A 24,022-nucleotide genomic window follows, 5' to 3' on the forward strand; every position below is an offset into this window, starting at 1 on the left:
CTTGAGTCTGTAGGAGTGGTCCAGGAGCCTTGGTTCAAGGAGTCTTCCTGGCTTCAGGATGTAGTGGGGTGGGTGTGGACCCTGTGTCTACTAGAGCCTGGCTCCATGGGTACCAGCCTAGAGCCTGAGGCTGGCTTGGTGCTGGGGTAGGTGTAGAGTTTGGGATCATAGAGGCTGGCCTAATGCCTGAAGCCAAAGTGACTGGTCTGGTGCCTGTGGCTGTGGGGGCCAGCCTGGAAGCTGGTTGTATGGGTGCTTGCCTGGAGACTAAGTCTGTGAGGGCTATTGTGGGTCATGCAACCACAGAGGCTGTCCTGAAACATGGGTCTGCTGAAGTGGGCCTGGATCCTAGATCTGCTGGAGTGTGGGGCTTAAGGGTCTAGCCTGGAGGGTGGAGCCACAGGGACTGACCTGGTACTGGGCAAGCCTGGAGCCTATATGCATGGTACTTACCTGGTGCCTAAGGCCAGGGGTGCTGGCATGGTTCTGCAGCAGGCCTGAAGTCTGGGGCTCTCTGGGCTGACCTCACTCTACACTAGTCTGGAACCTGGGGTGGGCCTGGAGCCTGAGGCCACAGGGGCTGATGTGATGCTGGACAGGCCTGGAGCCTGTATTGGCAGGGACTGGTCTGGAGGCTGGGTCTGCAGCTGGTGACCTGAGGACTAGGGCCATAGAGTCTGGCCTGGTGCTGGGGGTGTTCAGAGCCTATTATACCTGGGGTTACCCTGGACCTGGGGCTCATCTGGAGCCTAGGGCCACTGGGTTTGGCCTGGCAGTGGGGTGGGCCCAAAGACCAAGTCCCCAGAGCAGGCCAGGAGCATGGGATTGCTGAGCCAGCCTGGTGTGGGGGCAACCCGGATCAGTCTGTGGTTGATCCTAGAGTCTGGGGTTCTCTACCAACTAGAGTCTGGGGTTGTGGGGGCCTACCCTTCATTTGGGTTTTACCGGGACAGACCTGGTGTTGGTGTCCAAGGCAAAGACTGGTACTCATTTCCCTCTCCTCTCAAACAGAGGGTTTCCCTCTCCAGGATGTGTTGCCTGAGGTTGAAGAAGGGGTAATGTGGAGAGTGTAAAACTGTCCTTCCTACCTTCTTCAATGTGTCTTTTCTTATTTCTATGTTAATCTGTTCCCTTAGCTCTTGTGAAAGTATTTTAATCAGTGCCTAGTTGTTCAAATTTATGTTTCTGCAGGGCAATGACCATTGGAAAGTCTTAGTCTGCCATCTTGCTGATATCATTTCCCAGACTAAATAGAATGGTCATTTTAACTTTCTATGTATCCAAAACCTTTTCCTTCTGGCAGTAACACCCAAGTTGAGGATAACTCTTCAGACTTAAAGAAATTCTCCCCTCATAAGAGCCTAAGCAGGTAATTTCTCAGTCATTGATAAATATTGCTAAGAATGTCATGACAATGTAAAACTAGAATAATGATAGCATTCTAGTTACAATTCTTTTAAAGAAAGTTCTCAGCATAGTTTAGAATTGTATATACCAAATTATAAAATACACAGAGAGGAGAAAGTATGTGTGATTTCTAAAGGTCAGTGTGTAACTGTGTAGGTTTTCAGTCTGTCATCCTCCCTTATACCCCAACTCATTTCACATTTACAGCTAAGTAATAATATATACATAAATACATATGCATACATAAATGAATATTAAGAACATCATTTTTTTTGACAGAGTCTCGCTCTGTTGCCTAGGCTGGAGTGCAGTGGCATGACCTTGGGTCACTGTAACCTCCGCCTCCTGGGTTCAAGCAATTCTCCTGCATCAGTCTCCTGAGTAGCTGGGTTTACAGGTGTACACCACCATGCCCAGCATATTTTGTATTTTTTTGTTGTTGTTTTTTTAGTAGAGACTGGGTTTCACCATGTTGGCTAGGCTGGTCTTGAGCTCCTGACCTCAAGTGATCTGTCCGCCTTGCCCTCCCAAAGTGCTGGTATTACAGGCGTGAGCCACTGCACCTGGCCAAGAATATCATTTTTATCTCTCATTCGCCAAAATATGTTTTAATTTAAGCTGACATTTTAAAATGTGGTTTCTGTAGGTAGGTGCAGACAGGTGTATAGATTCTAATATATATTCTTAAATAGTGTTTTATAATTAAAACATATGCTTAAACATTATACATAAGACAGGCTTTTATAGCTGTGGAAACAATCAAGGCTATTTTTAGTTCCTTCCTCACACCAACAATTCACATGAAACCTCTAAAGACTCAAAATGCTCATGTTGAGTGACAATGTTCTTGCCATGCAAAATGTCTCATTCTCCTTTAGCTTACACAGTCATTTCTCTTTTGTTCTCTCATTTTTAAACATTTGTATGAGTTGTTAAGACTTTAAACTACTTTAAAACACTTAGACTTCTCTTTTATTAGTCAGATCAACCAGCACAAGGTCGGATACAGACTAAGTACTCAATACTTCTTGACTAGTGGAAACCAGTCAAGTACAGATTAGTGCTGCATTTTGTGGGAAGAGCACAATGTGTGAGAATCCAGGACCTGTAGATTCTAGTGCCAGCACTACCACTGACTAACAATGTGCTCTTTGATAGCTATCTACAAACTTCAGTTACCTCACCTATAAAGGGAAAGTTTGGCTAGATGACAATTAACAGCCTTTTGAGCTCTAGTACTTTATAAATTTAAGGAGTTTTCTGGCTCCATTTCCTATACTCTTCTAGGCTTATAGCAATGATTGAACCTTACAAATTAGCAAAAAATAATTATCTCCATCATATCACATCTGCCAGTCTCTCTTTGTGGATGATTCACAATTGTCATACAGCAAAGGCAAATTCAAAACATGGTTGACTTTCTTGTCAAAATTGAACTTACTCATTTCTCTGTATTTCTTTTTTTTGGGGGGGTGGCTAGGGGTGGGAGAGAGAGACGGGGTTTCACTGTGTTACCTAGCTTGATCTCAAACTCCTGGCCTCAAGTGATCCTCCCACCTCAGAACTCCTGGCCTTGAGTGATCCTCCCAACTCAGCCTTCCAAAGTGCTGGGATTATGGGCATGAGCCACTGCACCTGGTCTGATCAAAATTTTAAAGTCATATTTGGTGTATGAGTCAGGATTCCATCAGGAAGCAAAGGATATGCTCAAGTTAAGATAATGTGAGGTTTTGATAAAGGCATTATTTATGACAGGCATGAGCCACCACATCTGGCTCCTTATATTCCTTATCTCAGCTAATAACATCACCTATCCTTAGGGCCACCCAAGATCAAAATCTTTTTTCTTCTCCTTTATTTTTTTTAAATGAGATGAGGTCTTATTCAGTAACCCAAGCTGGAGTGCGGTGGAGTAATCATGGCTTACTGCAGCCTCAACCACCTGGGATCAAGCGATCCTCTCTCCTGTCTTCCGAGTAGCTGGAACTACAGTCACACTCCACCAGGCCTGGAAAATTTTTTATTTTTATTTTTGTAGAGATGGGGTGTTACTGTGTCGCCCAGGCTAGTCTTGAACTCCTAGGTTCAAACAGTCGTCCTGCCTCAGCCTCACAAAGTAGTGGGATTACAGATCTTAGCCACCACACATGGTCTGATCAAAATTTTAAGTCATATTTGGTGTATGAGTCAAGATCCCAGCAGGAAGCAAATGGTATGCTCAAATTAAGGTAATTTGAGGATTTAATAAAGGCACTATTTATGAAGGTGAGGTTAGAGTATATGGAAACCACAGAAGATGTGGTGTCCCAGACAGTGAGACTGGGGAGCCCATAGTCGACCACACAGGTTAACTTCCTAAGGCAGAGAGTGTGGTAGAGGGGGATAGAGGATGAATCTGGTGTGACAAAGAAAGATGTCCATTGCATGTGGCACTCCAGGTTTTTCTTTATCAAATTAAACTTATCACAGTCCTTTTCTGATAAGTTTATTCCACTGCAGTCTTTCTCCTTTACACTTACACTTCGATTCCACTCGTTCTGGCTCCCATTACCTTTGCTGAGGCCCATGGTCAATGACCCAGTCTCTTTCCATACCTCACGGAGCCACTAGCAATCCCTCAGTATGAACACTTAAAATGAAACAGATTACCTTTTCTACCCTGTCTATCAGGTATTTAATTTGTGTATTAGACAGTTCTACAGAGCCCTAATGCTCAGTGGAACATGGGTCAAATACCAGTACTCCATTGACAGTCTTTTTTGTATTCACCATCCTTTTTAAAGGGGTGTATCAGTCTGTTATCCCACACTGTAACTGGTCTGTTCTATCAGCCTCGAGTCTTTAGTCAGAGTCTTTAGTCAAATTCTTTCAGCATCAAGACTTCCATTAGGAATATCACAGCATAATCTGTGATTTTCTGTGGCAGGTGGCTCAGGGCATTAACATGAAATGTTCTTCCAGAGTCCTACACCAACAAATGATCATAAACATGGAACAAAGATGCCATCACGCACCTTATGTGCCTATGTGGTGGCAAATGAAAACCATAGCTTAAAAATAGAGCAGGATTGGGGTTAGTAGAAATCAGAAAGCCACAGATTTGTGGTGGCAAAATGAAAACCATAGTTTAAAAACAGCAGTATTGGGACTAGTAGAAATCAGAAAGTCACAGAACCGCATGAATTAGGCAAAATTATTGATACTTTGATATAGTCACATTCAGTGTGGCTGGCATATGTAACAGGCCCAAGAATGCCATTCTTAAGGAACTTCTTGATTTTCTAATTTTCTTCCTTAGAATATGCATTAATTCTAACCCTCACATGAATTGGTGTAATCATAAGATTATTTTTAATATACTTCCTTGTTGTTATTGTCATTTAAATAAACAAAATCACTAAATTCCAGGTAACATCAATAGCTGTAACACCTTCTATGCTATATTTAGATAATGCAGAATGTTCTTTGAAGTGTGGCGCTTCAGAAACTTTAATGAAAACATAATGAGCATTTTAGTTAGGTGACAGCATTTAGTTTTTATTGATGTAAGACACAGGAAAGTCTAGAATTGTACAATTAGCTGTATTCTAGAACCATTTTTTTAATTGACATTTTGGTCTGTGGCCATTCTATTAAAATTGCATGTGTTTAGGTTATAAACAGCCCTTTACAAGAATCAGATGACATCCCCATTCTGGTTTCTTTTGCTCTCAAAAATTATCTTGGTGAATGGTAAAAATTGTCAAACTAAAACAATATATTAAAACAGGAGTAAGAAATAATGGGCATGTATTATATGTCTCACTTTAGTGTTCGCCATCTTGGGTGGCATTTGTCTTCTTTAGTGACAACAAAGCAAACGACTCTGCTATCACTAAAGGAGAACCAGATTTTCAAATTCTTGAGGTATTTTATATCAAGGAAAATAATTTTTAAAGTCAAATTTGTTTTTAATCCAAAATTGTTTTTATACTTATTTTCTTAAGAATGACAAAGGGATATTTAGTTATAAATGCAACTTAGTCTGTTAAACATTTAACAAAAACTATACAAATACTTCAGTTCTTACAGACATATGACCAAAAATAAAAACACAGTCGACCTGAATTGAGCCCCAAGAAAAATAGGTTGGGAGCAGTGATTGGCCAAAACATTTCGAGAAAGCTTTTAGTGGTTGCAAAGAGGTAGTCTGTGGATAGAAGTAATAACTTTAACCATGGAAACCTCTTGGTCCTGAGCACTTTCAGCTTATTTATCCATCAGAGAAAAGTCAACAACATTGAAATCCCTGCACTAACACAAAATGGTCTCCTATCCCATTTTGGGATTGTCTAAGTTATACATATGACTGATTAATTATTATTTTTAAACTTTTACTCTTGTGTATTAATATAAATTGTAAAACCATCTTCTTTTTAGGCCCTGGAACCCTTTATGATAGTGATTTATTTGAGTTTTATCTAAGATAACTCTATTAGAGGTTCAAGGAATGTTGATAATTTGGTCTTAATGAATTTTAGTGTTAGGACTTTAAACACCATCTAGTGTAACATCACTGCTGACATGTGAGCTTCATGCTGCTTGAATGCTTCCTAGAACAGGAACCTAGCATCCTGCAGGCATTCTTGATAGAAACACAAATCTACCTTTCCGTAGCCTCTGTCCACAGGGTCTGCACTTGCCATCTGGAGCTACACAGAACAAGTTAATTTCTCTTTCCTGTGATAGACTTCACATAGTTGAAGACAAATTCTCCCTGCAATGTCTTTAGGCCTGCCATCATTTTTCTTGTGATGTGTTTTCTGTATTCCCAAATCCTCCGGCTGACCTTTTCTAGATTAGCTCCAGATTTTCAGTTTTAATTTAGAAGATAGTAACCAGATTGAGATGTAGTATTTTCCATGTGGTTTGATCATTTGCTTCTGGTATACACACATTGGGTTTCTTGTTCTACTGTGTTCTTTTGAGACAGAATGGAAGAAAAGGTCTTTTAGTGATTGCCAAAGTCTCCTCAGCATCTTTGCTGAACCACTTCACTAGGCTTACTCTCCTTCCTGTAGACTTCCATTGTCAAGCTCCAAGCCCGACCCAGATAAATTCTCCAGTTCATCTCTCTTCTTTGCTCCTCAAATCTCTTTGACTTAGAACTTATGGCACTAAAATCGTAGAGTCAAAATCAGACTTTCCTTTTATTAAATTCTGATTATAGTGGGTATTATTGAATCAAAGTACAGTGAATTAGGATTATTGCTATGACTACTATTAATGCTTTTTTTTTTGCATAGTGCTTTATAGCATTGGCTACTGGGGGGTCATATTTCAAACTTTTAGGGTATTTTGGTGCCTTTTTGTGATTACCAAAATAGCCATAATTGTCTGGCATAATTTTTCTTTCATGTAAAATAAATGCTTTTTTACACTGCTGTTTAGCATTTTCCAAGCACCACAATCACTAGAGGAATTGACATCATAAGTTAAAATGTACTGAGAGCCCACAGGGTGCCTGTCGTTGTCCTTGTCTCTTTATAACAGCTGTATCCATTGAGAACTGCTCTGTAGACTCATGGCCCTTTCCCTCCAGTTAATTTAGGAGCAGCTGCAGCCCTTGCAAAGTGAAAACCAAATGTCCTCTGGGATTTCCAAGAAACCTAATTCATTTTTCCACTGTAAATTAACTGGCTTCTCACTGTTAGTGTCTCTATGATTGTGACTCTCTCAATAATTAATACAGTATCATCTTTCATGGATATTATGTTTATAATAGATTTATTAAGTTGTTTTGCCAAAGAAGGAGAGAACAGCATATGTTTATTTGAATTTCCTTTTCCATCCACTTAATTTCTTCTTTGCTTTGGTAGTTTAAATATTTAAGCTGCTGGCTTCTTATTAGATTAATTGAGATACTGTCTAATTAATCCCGCAGAGGACAGAAATATTATTCTCCTCTTCATTTTTATAATTAAAAATAGTAAACAAAAATGAAAGAGTTCAAAACTAGTCTGATATAAAAAAGGCATTACAGTCTTAACTGAGACATGCTTCTCTTTCCGTCTTTCATAAATTGAGGTAGAAATTATATGCTGTAGCACATCCATGTATCATTTTTAAAAACTTTTTTCATGGCAAGCTCTTGCTATCTATTAATTATCTTAATTTGTGTTCTCTTAGATTGTGATAATTTATATTCCTAAGATATTGAAGTTTGAGCCTGGAGAGACTTAACATTTGATTTGGATGGACAACCACAATTTATGATGTTTGTTCAAGCTAGATTTGAGGGCTCTGAAGCCACAGGTTTGGGCATGAACTCTTGAGGGAACAGGTTTTCTCATGAAAACCTTGGCACTTCTACTTTTAACCATTACCAGTAACAGCTGTTAATAGTAGAGAATTAGGAACTATGACTTTCTAATTTGATATCTTTATTGATATATTGACCTACATAGCAGGATGTTTTTGGAGTTTTTGAAAGAGATCAAGTTTGATGAAATGAAAGGGAAAACAAATGATGAAAGAAAATCACATACTCTTCTTTTCTAAATGCGCTTAAAACTGTGAGAAGGGCCCAAAGAGAGCAGTTCTTATCTCCTTAAAGTCGGACTGAGAAGTCTTATTTACAGACCCCATTGTGTATCTAGTAGACTATGTACTCATTGCTAGACATTTTTAGGGCACTTTCTACTTCTACTATGTCAGTTTTGCCTAGCTCAAATTAAAGTTTCATTTTAGTATAGAGTAAGACATGAATAGCCTGCTAAAATAGCACCCCTACCTGTCTTCTCTAATTAGGGGATTTAGAGTTGAATATAACAGTGGTCTGGGGAAAATCAATTTCCTTGACTGTGAAGTTTAAACTGGATTCAAGATCTCAGAAATGAATATCTTAATAATAAACACTCTCCAGGAGTGATTTCTGCTGTAATTAAACTAATATTATACAATTTAAGGGGAAGGAAGTGGAAATAGAAGTTTGTATGTTATGCAGACTATATCACCCTGACTGTGATTTTTAATGAGGTTAAGCAACACTATTAATAGGGTGGCTTTTTTCTCCATAAATTTTAAGAACTGTAATCCTGACATGTATTAACATGAGTGTTTTTAGCTACTTTTATGCCTGTACTGTAATAATGCCACACTTGACAAGTAAGTGCCATCACGTATATACATATGTATTATGTATATACATCATATTATACGTATCATTAACATATCTCTGTTTGTTTATATGTTATTAGTTTCTATGGCTGTTTTGTCAAGTCACCACATACATGGTGGCTTAAAACAACAAAATTTATATCTGAGAGGTCAGATCTGGATGTCAAAATTGAGATCTGGAGATCAGAAATCTGAAATGGGCCTCAGTGGGCTAAAATCAAGGTGTGGGCAGGACTGCATTCCTTCTCGAGGCTCTAGGGGAGAATGTGTTTCTTTGACTTTTCTACCACCTAGGGGCTGCCTGCATTCTTTGGCTCATGACTCTTTTCTTCAACTTTATAGCCAGCAGTGGCCAGTCAAGTCTTTCTCACACTTTATTATTCTGACACTGATTCTCCTGCCTCCTTCTTTCATTTACAAGAACCCCTGTGATTACATTGGACCCACCTGTTTAATTCAGGCTAATCTTCCTAAACTAGTGGATTGGCAACATTAATTTTCTCTGCAACCTTAATTTGCCCTAGCCATGTAACATTACATATTCACAGGTTGTGGGAATTAGGACGTGGGCATCTTTAGGGGTATATTATACTTTAATCTGCTTACCACAGTATCTGACTTAAATTTTAAGATGAGTACACTGGGTGCTATGTTAATAGTGCACTGAAGGGGCGCAAGTGCAGAAGCAGGAAGACTATGTAGGAAGCTAATGTAGTAAACCATATGAGATAAAATGGTGGCTTAAACAGGGTGGTACTAGCAATGGAGGTGATGAGAAGTGGCAGGATCCTAGACATATTTTCAACATAATTTGCTGACCAATTAGATGTGGGATATAAAAGAAAGAAGAGTTGAGTATATTCCGAAGTTTTAGGTCTGAGCAATGGGGAAAATTAAGCTGGCATTAATTAAGATAGAGAAAACTATTCAAAGAGCAGGTTTAGGGTGTCAGTGGTGGGGCAGTGTGGGCCAGGGAAGAGGAGCCAGGGGGAGATCAAGCACTTAGTTTTTGCATAAGTTTGAGATGCCTGGTAGTGATTTTAGTCAAGCAGGTCTGTCCTCCACCAGGGCCAGAGGTATAGGTCCTATGGGAATTTCTGCCAAAGAATTGCAGATTGAATTTACTTGCCACCGTGTATTTCCCTTCTCCTCTTTATTAAAAAAAAAAAGGAGGAGAGCTATCTGCCTTTTAAATAACTATTTGTCTTCCTTCAGTATATATAAAAAATCCAAGTGGAGGTGTCAGGTAGTTAGATAGATAATTCTGGAATTTGGAAGAGTGGTCTAGCCTAGAAATATAAATTTTTTGTTCTTTAGCATGTAAATGGCATTTTAAAGCATGAGAGTGAATGTAATCACTTAGGGAGAGAATATAGATAGGAAAGAAGAGACCAAAGTCTGAACTCTGGAACACTGCAATCTCAAGAGTTTGGAGGAGTTGAAAGGAAACCAGCAAAGAAGAACTAGAGTAGCCAGTGAAGTAGGATGCAAGTCAGGTCTGCTAGATCTGATTTCCAAAATGTCTTCAGAATGCCATAGTATTCTTAGATCAGAACATGGTAACTGGTATATTACAGACAGTTGCTTTTGAAAAATTATATTGGATAATTGGACTATTTCCATACACATATCCTGCTATCAGAGTTCCTTCCGGATCCACTGATAGTTCTGCATTTACTCTCTGTCCATGTAATATGAGGTTTTTGAAGTTTAATGAGATACTCTTGAGAATATATGTTAATGCCATCTTTAGAGGGTGATATATCTGTGTAGGCTCTGTATTAAATATGAGAGTTCAGAATGGAGTAAGAAATTCAGTTGCTTCATTAAGCTACAGAAATTATAATTTTAGGAGATTTGACAATTTTATATTCTTTTGAATATCCTCATTGTTGACAAATTTCTTTTGCTTTGAATGGATTTAACTTTACAGAGTATCTGCAGTAATTTGTGTGTTGTTGAATAGAGCGAAAATTGGAAAATCAATATAACATTCTAGAAGGTAATTGGCATCATATACCAAAACACTTAAATTTTTATATAGACATTGATATAGTAACTCTTCTGACAGGAATTTATTCTAAGGAAACAGTCTTATATATATGTGCAAAGATTTTTTTTATGATATTGTTCATTATAGTGAAAAGTTAAAAACAATCTAAACAGTAGAGTATTAGAAAAATAGATTTTAGGATAACCATTCAGCATAATACTATGGAGTCAACAACGTATAATATTATGGAAAATATCAAATGAAATAGAATAAAAGTGGAAAAATCAAAATATCAAACAGTATGTGAAAAATTCTGTATGTACACATATATATGGACATAAATATGTAGAAAAGGATATATTTGCAAGTGTTAAAATTCATCTCTACATAGTAGAATTGAAAAACATTTTCTTTTTTCATTATTTTTTCTAAATATTCTACAATGAACATATATTAATTTTGAAACAAAAAATATATTTCAAAGAAGATAGAATTATGGTTCTTCAGGCATGTGCGATAGTTAATGTGGGTAATCAAACAGTCTTTGCTCAGTACTAAAACTATAAAAGGAATTTTTAATTTTTGGAACAATAGCAACACCATTAAAAGAAATGGATAGCTTCCCAAAGAGAATAATTTGAAAAACAGCCCTGATTTGGATTTGGAAGTTCTGGGATTTTGAGGGGGTGTTGGGGTACATTTTAAATTGAGCTTTAATTTGCATAGTAAAATTCACAGATTATACATTTGTGTAACCAACATCCAAATTAAAATACAGCTGGTATATTTGTCTGAAAAAAAATCATTGTTTTTCTTTCAACAGTATTATACCTTAAATAATTTCTTAAAGCAGTATAGATCTTTCAGGGCATTTTCTCTTTGTTGGTACTTGGAATCATGCGTCTTGATCTCACTATCTCTTGGAGTAGTGTGGCCAAATTAGCAGCCCCATACATGGGCTCTCAGTGATGAGGTTCAGTTTGCCATGTAGGTTTTGCAGGGCGTCCAGTTTATGGAAAGCTGAGAATGCCTCCTCTACCAACTAAAGAAGCAGAATTGCCCAGGTGCCTGGTAGTGACTTTGGTCAAGCAAGTCAGTCCTCCACCAGGACCAGAGGTATATGTCCTATGGGAATTTCTACCAAAGAATTGCAGATTGAATTTATTTGCTCCCATCTATTTCCCCTCTCCTGTTTATTAAAAAAAGGAGGAAAGCTATCTGCCTTTTAAATAACTATTTCTCTTCTTTCGAACAACTTATAGGATATTTGTGTTGCCCACTAGTTGCATTTTCTAGGTGAGGATTGTAAGGGTGGTAAATAAGAACTAACTTCCATTTTGCCTTTGCAATGACCTCTGGTCCTCCAGTGATTTATGACCTACTGGTCTAGAGGGGTGTTTGTAACTTCCTGACATACTCCTGAACTGCTTCATAGGACCATCTTTTGCCAGACCACCCTGAACTGCCAGTGTCAACACTACTTGCACAAAACTTAATAAATGAGTTTTCTCCAGTATTGAGCCCCTAAGAAACATCCTTTTTTTGCTGTGACTCCAGATACTTCTAACCAAAATTAGCTCTGAGTGGCAGTTCCATGTCATTAATGGGCTTTTAATTTTTTATTTCTTGGATTTGAAGTTTCATTTCAAAGACCACCTGACAGTAGATCATTTAGTTATTCCAGTGGTCTGCAGCCATGAGAACTTCTAGAACTTGAAATAACAATAATTAACTTATATTAGGAGAGTTTATTATGTTCCAGGCAATATTGTTAAGCACTTTCATGGCTTTTCTTACTTAATTCTGATAACAAACCAATGAAGTTGTAGGGATTATTTTGGCTATGTTTTGCAGATGAAGTAATTGAAGCTAAGAAAGGGTAGGTATTTACAAATAGGAAATAATGGTGCAGGAGTTCCAATAGTGGTTGTGCTCCCAACTGCTGTACTATATTATCTACCCAAATTGATTCCTGCCATCTATTGGTTCTTAACATTATTGTGTATAATTGATGTTAAGTTGCTCATAAAAGGCTGGCCTTCTCTTCCTCAGTATGTACTTTTCAAGAAAGCTAAACCTAGCAAATCTAGCCCTCCAAGAAAGAAAGGAACTCCAGGCCAAAAGGAACAGCTCTGATCCTGCTGCTAGTTAGTATCAGGCTCCTGACACCTGGTAAAGGTCAAGCATTGAACACTAGGGCTTTTACCTTACCCACCTTGCCAAGTAATTTTCATTCCTCATTTTAGTTTCTGTTGACTACCTGGCTGCAGTAATACTATTCTCTTTCAAGAAATCCTTTGTCTTCAGAGGCGTGCATCCACTCAGCCCATCACTGATCTCCCTTCCTTCATCCAGCAGCATCAGAAGCTGACTGCTCACCCTGAGATAACTTCATAACCTCTGACTCAACCTTGGTTTTATTTAGGAGCAGGCTTCCTTGTATATAACTTGGCTATGAGCTTCATGAGGACATGAATTGTATCGGTTTTATTTACTGTGGTATCCTTAGCACCAAGAAAAGTATTGGGAACTGAGTAAATTCTTGTTGAATGATTAAATTATGTGCTAACATGTGTATGCACCGTATGGGAAGCTCAGGTATCTGTGCTCTGGTAATGCCCTTAGTCCTCATTAGTGCCACTAGAGACTACAGAACAATCTCAAGCAAACAAATGGTATATGCTCCCCTTACCAACTTGCAAATGGCCATTATTCACCCACTTCATGGGAATGGTCATAGTTTAATGCTGTATTCCTTAAAGCCCAGACCTTGTCCTGACCAGAGAAATTTGGAGAGTTATCAGATAATGGCAGTCACATGCAAGAAGTGGTAGAGGAGAGATGTCCCACATACGTGAGACTTTAAGTACTAACCTGGATTGAGAAATATTTTATTTGACAAAACTAGTGCAGCTGTGACATTTCTATCTTTCATCACTTGACATTACTTTGAGGTCTTGATATTTACTTCACTCAAGGGACAGAAACTTCTAAGCCCTCCCATGCTAGATTTTTGGTGTTTTCAGGCTGTCTTATGAGATTTATCTTACTCTGTACTCACAGTGCTGCCTCCCAAATAACACACAGAATTTCTATGTTGTTGTGCAGATTTTTATAATATGTACTTAGTTTTCATTCTTATGCAGGTGACCTTCATGTTGCAAGCAGGATGAGTTTATACAGTATCTCAGGGGTACGTTCTATTTGATTGCCCTCCCTGCCTACACACACACACACACACACACACACACACACACACACACACACACACACAGAAAGAGAGAGAGAGAGAGAGAAAGAGCGAGCGCAACCTGTTCTTTGGGATACATTACATTATCTAGCCAGGTGATGTACTAATACAAAAACAATTTTAAAAATAATTTTTCTGCACTCTGATACCTCCTTCAATTTGTTGATGAAGCTGTTGCTATAAACTATTAGCAAATACAAAGTTCTTCATTCAGTTCAAACACAGACAAATATATGTATCTGGTGCTAAATGGTTCCTGGTTTCTTTTTTATTTTTCCAGGCAAGAAAACTGATCAGTGATTTTGCCATTATCTTGTCCATTCTCATCTTTTGTGTAATAGATGCCCTAGTAGGCGTGGACACCCCAAAACTAATTGTGCCAAGTGAGTTCAAGGTAGGTGAATGTCTATCTTTTGGTCATTCCTGGAACTCTTTTTCTTTCTTTCCCCCTATTCTAATTTATTGTGTTTCTCTTTGAGTTAGTTTTGTACAATTATCCATATTTTTTTTCCAAAATCAGTCCCTCTTAGGCTCATATATACATGTAGTTTAATTTCTTCACTACAATTAAATGTCAAGACTAGGGTTTTTATTTAAAACAACTGATAATACTATTATAAACTCTGGCTTATAGTTTTAGAATAAATATCCAAAATATTTTATATAACTTATTACCTTGATCTATATAATGACTCTGGGAAATACGTATTGTAACTATCATCCTCCTGATTTTTTCTTTTTTGAGACAGGGCCTTGCTCTGTTGCCTAGGCTGGAGTGTGGTGGTGCAATCTCAGCTCACTGCAACCTTTGCCTCCTAGGTTCAAAGAATCCTCCCACATTAGCCTCCCAAGTAGCTGGTGCTGTAGGCACATACCACCACCCCCAGCTAATTTTTTAATGTTTTGTAGAGACAAGGTCTCACTATATTACCCAGTCTGGTCATCATCCTGATTTTATAAAGTTAAGATTGAAGCTCAAAGAATTAAGTAAAATGCCTAAGATTATGGAACTAGTAATGTCAAGATGTGAAGTTAGAACCCAAGCCTCCAGAAGTCTAGTCTAATACTCTTTTCATGCTATGAAACTACCTACCACACGCATGTATATATAATGTGAATTGTAATTATTACAAAGTAGATATAATAATTACTTAACTTACGAACCTATTGATATGTGTAGGTAATGGATAAAATTTACATTCCAGTCATTCCTAAATATATTCCTAGCTAATTTTTCACTACAAGTCTTTTATCTATTTTCTAGAATAATCCTCCTTCCCTCCACTACTGAGATCATATATTTGCTAAGAATTATTAAGCTAGTTGCAGTTTTAGTTTAATAACTGCTTAATGAGGAAGGGATATATATGTTATAACACACATTATTTTTTGAATTGTCTCTGCTATCACATATTCATTAGTAAAGATAAGTTCTCACCCATTCAACCATTAATTCATTTGAGTTAATATTTATTGAATATTGAGTCAGGCTCTAAGCTGGAAATTTGAAATGCATTGATGAGTAAGACAAATTTTTTTCCCTGACAAGCTCACATCTGCTAATTGTAGTAAAATGAGGTTAGATTCAGTGACAGAATTATGAGACAGATGATGGGAATGTCCTCAGAAGAGAAGTGAGACTTTCTTGATAGCAAATATGGAGAAAATAATTCACAGTGTTCTATTTTAGTTTTTTATTTGCATTGTTGAATGTAAGGAAAAGCGTAGGAAACCCTTTTTTTTCTGTAGTAGACATATATGATCTACTGATGGAAAACAGACTAAGAACTGCAAAAATGACAGTTTTTTCCAGTTTTTTTTTGTGATTTTCCTAAAATTTACCCAGTTATTATAGATCATTATTTCATATGTAAAATAAGAGACCAGAATTTTTACATTAGTTCACTTATATAAAAACAGTTATGGCTTTTTATATATATTATGAAGCTGTTAAAATTCGGCAATAGTATAAACAATTTCATTATAATTGCTAAAACCCATGAACAAAATTCATGGTGATTTGGTAATTTCTTGCTACCTTTTTACTGAATTTCTTGCTATCTTTTTACTTTTTACCTTTTACTTTTTACTTGCTACCTTTTTACCTTTTTACATTTGGAGTTTTCTTCTGGCTACTCTTTAAACTTAAATCAGTTTCTTCCATTTTGAGTCCTTATCTTAAACCATCCCAAATATGCAAAATGCCATTCACTTATTTTCCAACAGCCCATACTCTTTCTCTACTTTCTTTAAAGAATTGCCTCAAAAATAACATCCTTTGGGAGAGTTTTGGTGAATAATCTTCATTCTCTAGCTCATAACTGTTTATATTTCTCAATATGTTGGTTATCCAAATATAAAAGCATGTCTTCCCGTTGGTTTTTTCACCAAATAGTATATATTAACCTGATAATTTTCTGAAAAATGTCATCTGTCTTTTTCAAGCCAACAAGTCCAAACCGAGGTTGGTTCGTTCCACCGTTTGGAGAAAACCCCTGGTGGGTGTGCCTTGCTGCTGCTATCCCGGCTTTGTTGGTCACTATACTGATTTTCATGGACCAACAAATTACAGCTGTGATTGTAAACAGGAAAGAACATAAACTCAAGGTAAGTGTCCATAATAATGTCTGTCATTGCCTTCTACTTTCTTTTTAGTACTTGAAAACACTAATTGATTAAAAACCAAGGGAGCTTTGTTGGGAGTTACTATAGCTAATGTTCCTTAAGAGTCCGCAGAACCAGAGATCACTTTGTATTGGTACATGTCTTCAATATAACACTTTAGGGAGAGCTCATTTAAATCTGAAAAAAAAAAAAGGTTTCAAATCATATTTCTTTCACCAGCAAAGAGAATACAAACATAATTTACTATTTAGCCACAGTCATCCTACATCTGATTTTAGTGGAGTAACTATCCTCAATAAAGACAATGACAATCAAAGATTTAATTAATTTATACTGAGCATCTGCTTTCTCTTAAATCAACTCAGGTTTATTCTTAAAGATTATTCAGATAGTTCATGGTTGTAAGCTGGTGGTGTACATCCTGTTTTTTGTCTTCACATACTTGTGTCAGTATGTTATTAACCATAAAGAAGGGAGAAAAATGCTTTATTTTGGACATTTTAAAAATCAGTTATTAACTTTGTTATGAGTCTAAAGAAAATGCCTTAGTGGTCTGGGATATCTTTCAAGAGAGCTGCCTAAAATGCTCTTACTTTATATAATGTTTTTCCAGCTCCAGTGACTTTTTTAGTTGCAATGGATTTTTACAATACCATTTGAAGAAGTGAGATATGAATGGTAACAATAATAAGAGCTATTATTTAGTGGAGGGCTACTATGAGCCAGGCCATCTTCTAAGCACTTTGTATTATATATTAACTCGTTAACTTTTCATAACCACCATATGAGGGAAGCATGAAAATGCATTAGAGTCTGTTACCCAGAAGGAGAGGATATTACTAAGAATAGAGTTCAACACAGTAGGTATAGCAGGAAAAATATTCAGGAAATATAAAGAATTGGCTGACTACAGAAACCCATTGAGCAGAGGAATGAGAGAGATGAGGAAGATTCTGATAAACTATCCAAGTAGGGAGAACTTAAAAAGCTGTAGATCATGGTAAGAAAGGAGTAAATCCCATAATAATAAGACCAGGAGAAGAAAATTAAAAGCTTTGGTCAAAGAAGAGATGTTTAGATTTTGAGAGTTTGGAAGGAGAGAAAGCTGAGATTGATGAACTGGTCCAAAGCATGTGGCTAGCTCCCGAAGCATGTTGACAATGACGTCCATCAAAACTTGTAAGTTAGAGTAATGTGAGTCTGGTGAACTGAAAGTATCACCTGCCTCAATATTGATATGATTGGAAAGTGGCACAGAGCATGGTAGAGAAGAACATCATGGGAAAGTTGCTAAAACCATAAGTAAAAGTATATAACTGTCCTGGAGGTCGGCATATTTAGTGATGTGGAAGGGCAGAATGAAGAATAACTGGGCTTCAATACAAGGCAGTTCATAAAGCACGAAAACAAGTGAGGTATGCTCCCATCTAACATGGAGAGTAAAACAAACAAACAAAACAAACAAACCAACAAAAAAACTAGACTGTCACTAAAGAACAAATCTCTGCAAGAAATCAGTGCTCCCAAAGGAAACCAAGTGGTTTTCACTTATGATGAAAGAAAAGGTTGCAAATTCAGTTGGAAAATTACATTAAAATGACTTTCCCCCTATGCCCACTCCTGCCGTGAGTAGATACTGTACTGCTCTGAGATACTTTTAATTCTAAGATCATTGAGCTTCTCACATTCTGGTAATGTTGGGTTATTTGCACTTGTTACATGGCAGCTGACTTAAGAATTAAGAAGTGGAAGATGCTAGGCCATTAAATGGTTATATCTGCAACTGGCACAGCCTTACTTCTTTACTTTGCTGTAGTCAATGGGTCAAAATAGTCACAGGGGCAGCCTCCATTCAAGGGGGTGAGGGGGGAATTCTCCTTTTAATGGGGGAATGGCAAGGTCGTATTACAGAAAACCGTGTAAGATAGGAGATGTTTTCCAGCCATTTTTGGAAAATAAAATCTGCTACATTTGTACTGAAAAATTTGCCATAGTCTAGATCTTGGTGATTGCTTCCCCGTGGTATCATTTAAGCATATATACATATATACATATATACATATATATATATATATATATATGTATATATTTATTTATTTATTTATTTTTAGACAGAGTCTTGCTCTGTCACCCAGGCTGGAGTGCAGTGGCTTGATCTCAGCTCAATTCAACTTCTGCCTCCGGGGTTCAAGTGATTCTCCTGCCTCAGCCTCCCGAGTAGCTGGAATTACAGGGGCATGCCACCATGCCAGCTAATTTTTGTATTTTTAGTAGAGACGGGTTTTTGCCATGTTGGTCAGGCTGGTCTTGAACTCCTGACCTCGTGATCCGCCCACCTTGGCCTCCCAAAGTGCTGGGATTACAGGCATGAGCCACCATGCCTGGCCCATTTAAGCATATTCTTCTGTCTTCTGTGCTTCCTTTAAATTGGCCATTTGATCTAGAAGCTTGAGGAGATATAGTTTTGATATTGCATATCTATCTATCTTTGTGTATGTGTATATATACACACATATAATATATACACACATATATGTATATATGTGTGTATATACATATCCTTTCTTATATGTATATGTATATGTATACACACATATACATATACATATCCTTTCTTACCACGATCTACAGCTTTTTAAGTTCTCCCTACTTGGATAGTTTATCAGAATCTTCCTCATCTCTCTCATTCCTCTGCTCAATGGGTTTCTATAGTCAGCCAATTCTTTATATTTCCTGAATATTTTTCCTGCTATACCTACTGTGCTGAACTCTATTCTTAGTAATATCCTCTCCTTCTGGGTAACAGACTCTAATGCGTTTTCATGCTTCCCTCATATGGTGGTTATGAAAAGGTAATGAGTTAATATATAATACAAATATGTCTACATATATGTATATGTATACACATATGTCTACATATATGTGTGTATATATTATACATATATGTGTATATATACATATGTGTGTATATATACATATGTGTGTGTATATATTATACATATATGTGTGTATATATACATATATGTGTGTGTGTGTGTATATATAGAGAGAGAGAGAAAGAGAGAGAGAAGCCCAAGACTAATTTATAAAAGGCCAGATAACTTTAAACTACAAGTTTGCCTTAGGAATTTCGAGGCCACAGAGATAATGTGAATTCCAGCTCTAAACCCAATTGTAGAGTTGTGGTTAGGAATATCCCTATCCTGGGAGATTCTTTCTTTCTTTTCCCTTCTTTTGGCATTATACCCAATGGCAAGGCTGAGAGAGGCATGTGTTCCCACTATCTTTCTCTGTGGGGTATTTTTTTTTTGATTGGCCAACTGAGTATGCCATGTTTAGAGTGTACTCGTTTTATTTTGGGTGGTATCTCCCATCTATGCCCTCTCCCACAGAGCCCGAGAATTGGTCTCTGTCCCAAGAGTTCAGATGGTCATTCTAATTCAGGCCGTAAGCCTCCAAGGATTGGCACGGTCTCTCTCAGGGCAGTCCCAGGCTCCAGGGCTTACTAACTCCAAGGATTTGCTTCTTCGCGTGGCTGTTGTTTTTTGTATCCAATTGTTCCTCTTTCTAGTGGATGAGCCATAGTTTCTAAAATATATTTTCTGTGTCTTTTTGAGCATTTTCAGATGTTCTGTATTGAGAGGGTTTCTGATGTTGGTTTAGTTTACCAAAGGCTAGAAATGGTTGTTGACTAATATTTTTATTCTGAAAAAAATTTGTTAACAAATTCTTAATTATGATCTACGGTTGGCTAGATTTATCCTGTATCTTTGGAGGTAAATAAATCTCCTACTAATTTTTACTCACTATGTTTTCTTATTGATAAAATTCAGAATTTAGAATTTCGGAAGTTTAGGAATGATAAAATACAGACATTTTTAATCTTATTTTCAGTAGAAAACATTAGAAAATCAAGGTTTATTAGGGTTTGCCTCTTAAAATAAGAGTTGAATATATAAAAAATAAGTTTTCATCACCTTCAGAATTGCCACTTGAAATCATTCTTTTGAATAATGAGAGTTATGGAATAGGTGTCAGTCTTTTGTCACAAATCTAATGATACCAGTGAACATTTCATCATTAATCAAAGGCTTTTCACTCTGAAAATTGTTTTGTTCATATTTTGTTAGGAAAGGAGAGCTGTGGAATATGAACACTGGAGATTCTGTCTAAAATTGTAAAGGGCCTTAACTGCTATGAAATTGTTTCAAAAGAGAAAGCTGAAACTGAGAGAGATAGAAGCATTGTGGTATTAAAAACAGCATGTTTTTGGGTGGCATTTGCTTTGGCTTCCGGTCAAGTGGCTCTGGCTGTCTGTTCTGCTTGGGATGGGATCCACCTTTCCACTCTGCTGAACACCTCAGTATTGATGTAGGAACGCCAAGACACTTGGCTTTCTTTGACCATTATTTTGGTTGTTTATGCCCTGCATTAGCCCTGCAGAGTGCTCAAAAGCAAGCCAGGGTCAGCAAGGTCATGATTCCTTTAAGGTCATTCCCTGAGTCATTGGCAGAAGAAGGAATAGAGTCTGAGCTTCAGACTGCAAAGTCAGAGATACTTCTCACAAGGAAGGTGATTTCGAGAGTGTTATAGATTGGGGGTAGGAGGGAGAAATAATTTAGGATAGATATCTAGAAATAGATATGAGGTGGTTGTGGCAACCAATTTGCTCTGATATCTTTTATGGGAAAACCCTTAATTTGAGGGTGTTCTTTTTGGATAACTCCCAAATTCCTATTTTTGCCCTACTTTCATTTTTCCTTTTTATTTCTACTCTCATAATCCTATAGACTCAGTCCTTTTATTTTATGCCTAGACTCTTCTAAAGGGTTAGCCATAATAACCAATCTTCCTTGCTTCATTCCAAAAGCCTTCATTTTTTTTTTAAATGCTATTCTTGTATGTCAGTCCTGTGTTTTTAAACTTTCACACTTTGGCCCCTTTAAATCTTTACCTCTCAAAGAACTTCCATTTGTCCTAGCCTGGGTTTTAAGACTCTTTGCCAGAGTACCACGACCTAAGTTTAAAATGGCTTTCTTCAAATGCTAGCCAGTGCTCTAGTCAAATGAACAGTTGAGTTTTCCTTAAGCGTGACAGTTTCTTCTGCTAGGTACTCCAGCCAGAAACCTCTTCTCCTTACTTCCTAATGATTGCTATTTTTCAAAATCCTCTCCATCCTTTAAGATAATTCAAATACAAAAACTTCTCAGTGTAGCTTTCACCTTTAATGTAATTTATATTTCTCTTGTTTTTGCTCTTAGTATATTTGTATTACTCTGTGGCACAGATCACATATTTCTTTTACAGTATCTGTTTTGTATAATTACTTTATCCCTTTTCTTGGCCAAAATGTTTTCAAGGTCAGGACCATGTTTTATTCCTCTTTTCAGCTCTCGTTTGGCCCACCAGTTTCATATGGTAGACTCAATAAATACATGTTGATGAATTTTATTCTCTTTGGCCCACATGGCTCTCAGTTGTTACACTGTGTGAAATGGGTGATAACTGCAAAACATATAAACTCTCCACTTCTCAAAGTGTGTGCTTATATTGGTCAAAGCCCTGTTTAGATGTCATCACTGCAGGGAGTTTTTGTGAATTTACTGTAGACATAGTTAAACACTTCATTATCTGTACTTTTTATTATCGTTTCCAAACCTCTTTGAATCTCTATTCAGAGTGCATTATAATTTGTGTACAAGTCTGTGTCCCCTTCTTCAATTCTGAGCCCCTTGGTGGGAGGAACCATGTCATGGCTCTTAGTGTCCCCATAAATGAGCATATTGTCTGGATCTTTGTGGGCCCCTAGCATGAACGTCTATTCTGTGTCCCTGCATGTCCCAGTGTTTACTGCTCCTCACCTCTCCTTTGTTATCAACTATGTACCACATGTAAACTTTAGGCCGCTGGGCTAGTCTTTTTCTTTCATAGATTTTGATTTCTGTGGATTTATTCCTAAATGATTTGTACTCTGTATTAGTAAAGCATATACAATTTCAAAAGGAAATAAAGTTTCACTTTCTCTCCTTGTACTTAAAATAATCTCCAGTTTCAGAAAATAGAACAACCGTTTGGTTTGTATTCATGGAAACAAGAAGTCTTTTAAACTTTAAAGGGCATATTTAACCTTTTGAGCATTTATTGAGTGCTTGCTATGTATGGAACACTTGTGTTAGATGTTGAAGATAAAAATTGTTCTACATTGCCGTCTGTGCCCTGAAGGAGTTTAATGGATTTTCCCTATTCACCACCTGTCTATTACAACACCAAGGTTGGAATTGACCATGCCTTTCTTTGTGCCTTGTACCTTGCATGAACATTAAATTATTTGTTTTCATGTCTGCCCTCAATTAATAATCTGTATCTGTCAATGAATACTTATTAAAGAATCATTTCCTATCCAAAGATATGAGCAAATGCAAAAGGCCCAGGGAGGGAAGGAGCTTGGTATATGGAGAAACATATAGTAGGCCAGTGTGACTAAGACTTGGGGAATTAATTCATTGAGATGAGGTCAAAGTTAACGGGGCCAGGTCACATGGAACAAAGTTTCTGAACTTCAGCATTATTGACAGTTGGAAATTTTTTTGTTGGTGGTAGCTTTCCTGTGCATTGTAGGCTGTTTATCAGCATTTCTAGTCTCTGGCCAGTAGAGGCATTTACACCCTCCAGCTGTGACAACCAAAAATGTCTTCAGGCATTGCCAAACGTCCCTTGGGAGTGGAGATGAGAGCAAAATAGTTCTGGGAGGAGGCTCTGATGTAGAAACTTAAAGATAATTTTGCAGCGTTTAGTTTTTCATTCTAAGTGAAACAGGAATCACTTTAAACAGGGAAGTGGCATATAATGATTTCGATTTTTAAAAAAGATTCATTCGTGAGGAGAGTGGGTTGTCAGGGACAAGAGAAAAACAGGGACGTTTGTGGTGAGAGCAGCATTGAGGGCTGAGGGTTGGTTGCTGGATGGTGTGAAGGAAGAAGGGGAATTTGCATGGAGCACTGAAAGGAGAGAATGGCTTTAAGCAAATGTCAAGGAGTAGAAGCAGAATCCCAATTCAAAGAGTGGCACATAGGAAAGTGCAGGAGCACAGAATATGCAAGGCACATTTAGGGATTTGTAGAGTTTCTGGAATCCCTGAGGGCCTCCTCAGAGTTTTAGATGCAGGAGCATGGAAAGGGAGGCTTTGTATTGCTCGGCCTTCTCAGCTGCCTGTGGCCTCCCCTATTCAGCGATATCCAGCTTGGGCTTGATGGGGTCAGAACTGCATTTGAAACACTCAGTCTGGCAGCAGTGAGGATGGATGGGGGAGGAACAAGAGTGGAGGTGGGTGGGGGGAGCTGAGTGGAAAGGGAAGGTGGGTGGGAAGAGGCTGCTGCATAATCCAGGAGAGAAAGGATGAGAATCTGAAAAAGGTAATGGCAGTGGGGAGGAGGAGTACAGAACAGATAAAAAGTTTCATATGTTATTTTTGAAAAATACTGTTTTCCATATTTCTTGCAGTATTCTTTATATAAAAAGGACCAGTATTTGAATATTATTTTTATTCCATTCAAATCTAGTCATTCAGATACTTTTAACTCAAAGGGACA

The 24,022-nt window shown here is 37.5% G+C and overlaps 1 protein-coding gene across 13 annotated transcripts in view; it reads left to right on the top strand.

The window, feature by feature from the left end:
• The window catches only part of SLC4A4 (solute carrier family 4 member 4), a 509,424-nt gene that overhangs the window by 455,314 nt on the left and 30,088 nt on the right, over window positions 1-24,022 (top strand). For all 13 annotated transcript variants that reach the window (XM_024454268.2, NM_001440628.1, NM_001134742.2 and 10 more), the window contains 2 exons: window positions 14,089-14,202; window positions 16,254-16,415. In XM_024454268.2, the coding sequence (XP_024310036.1) occupies window positions 14,089-14,202; window positions 16,254-16,415 (276 nt within the window). The remainder of the gene's footprint in view (window positions 1-14,088; window positions 14,203-16,253; window positions 16,416-24,022) is intronic.

The sequence above is a fragment of the Homo sapiens genome, chromosome 4 (assembly GCF_000001405.40).
Source record: "Homo sapiens chromosome 4, GRCh38.p14 Primary Assembly".
NCBI lineage: Eukaryota > Metazoa > Chordata > Mammalia > Primates > Hominidae > Homo > Homo sapiens.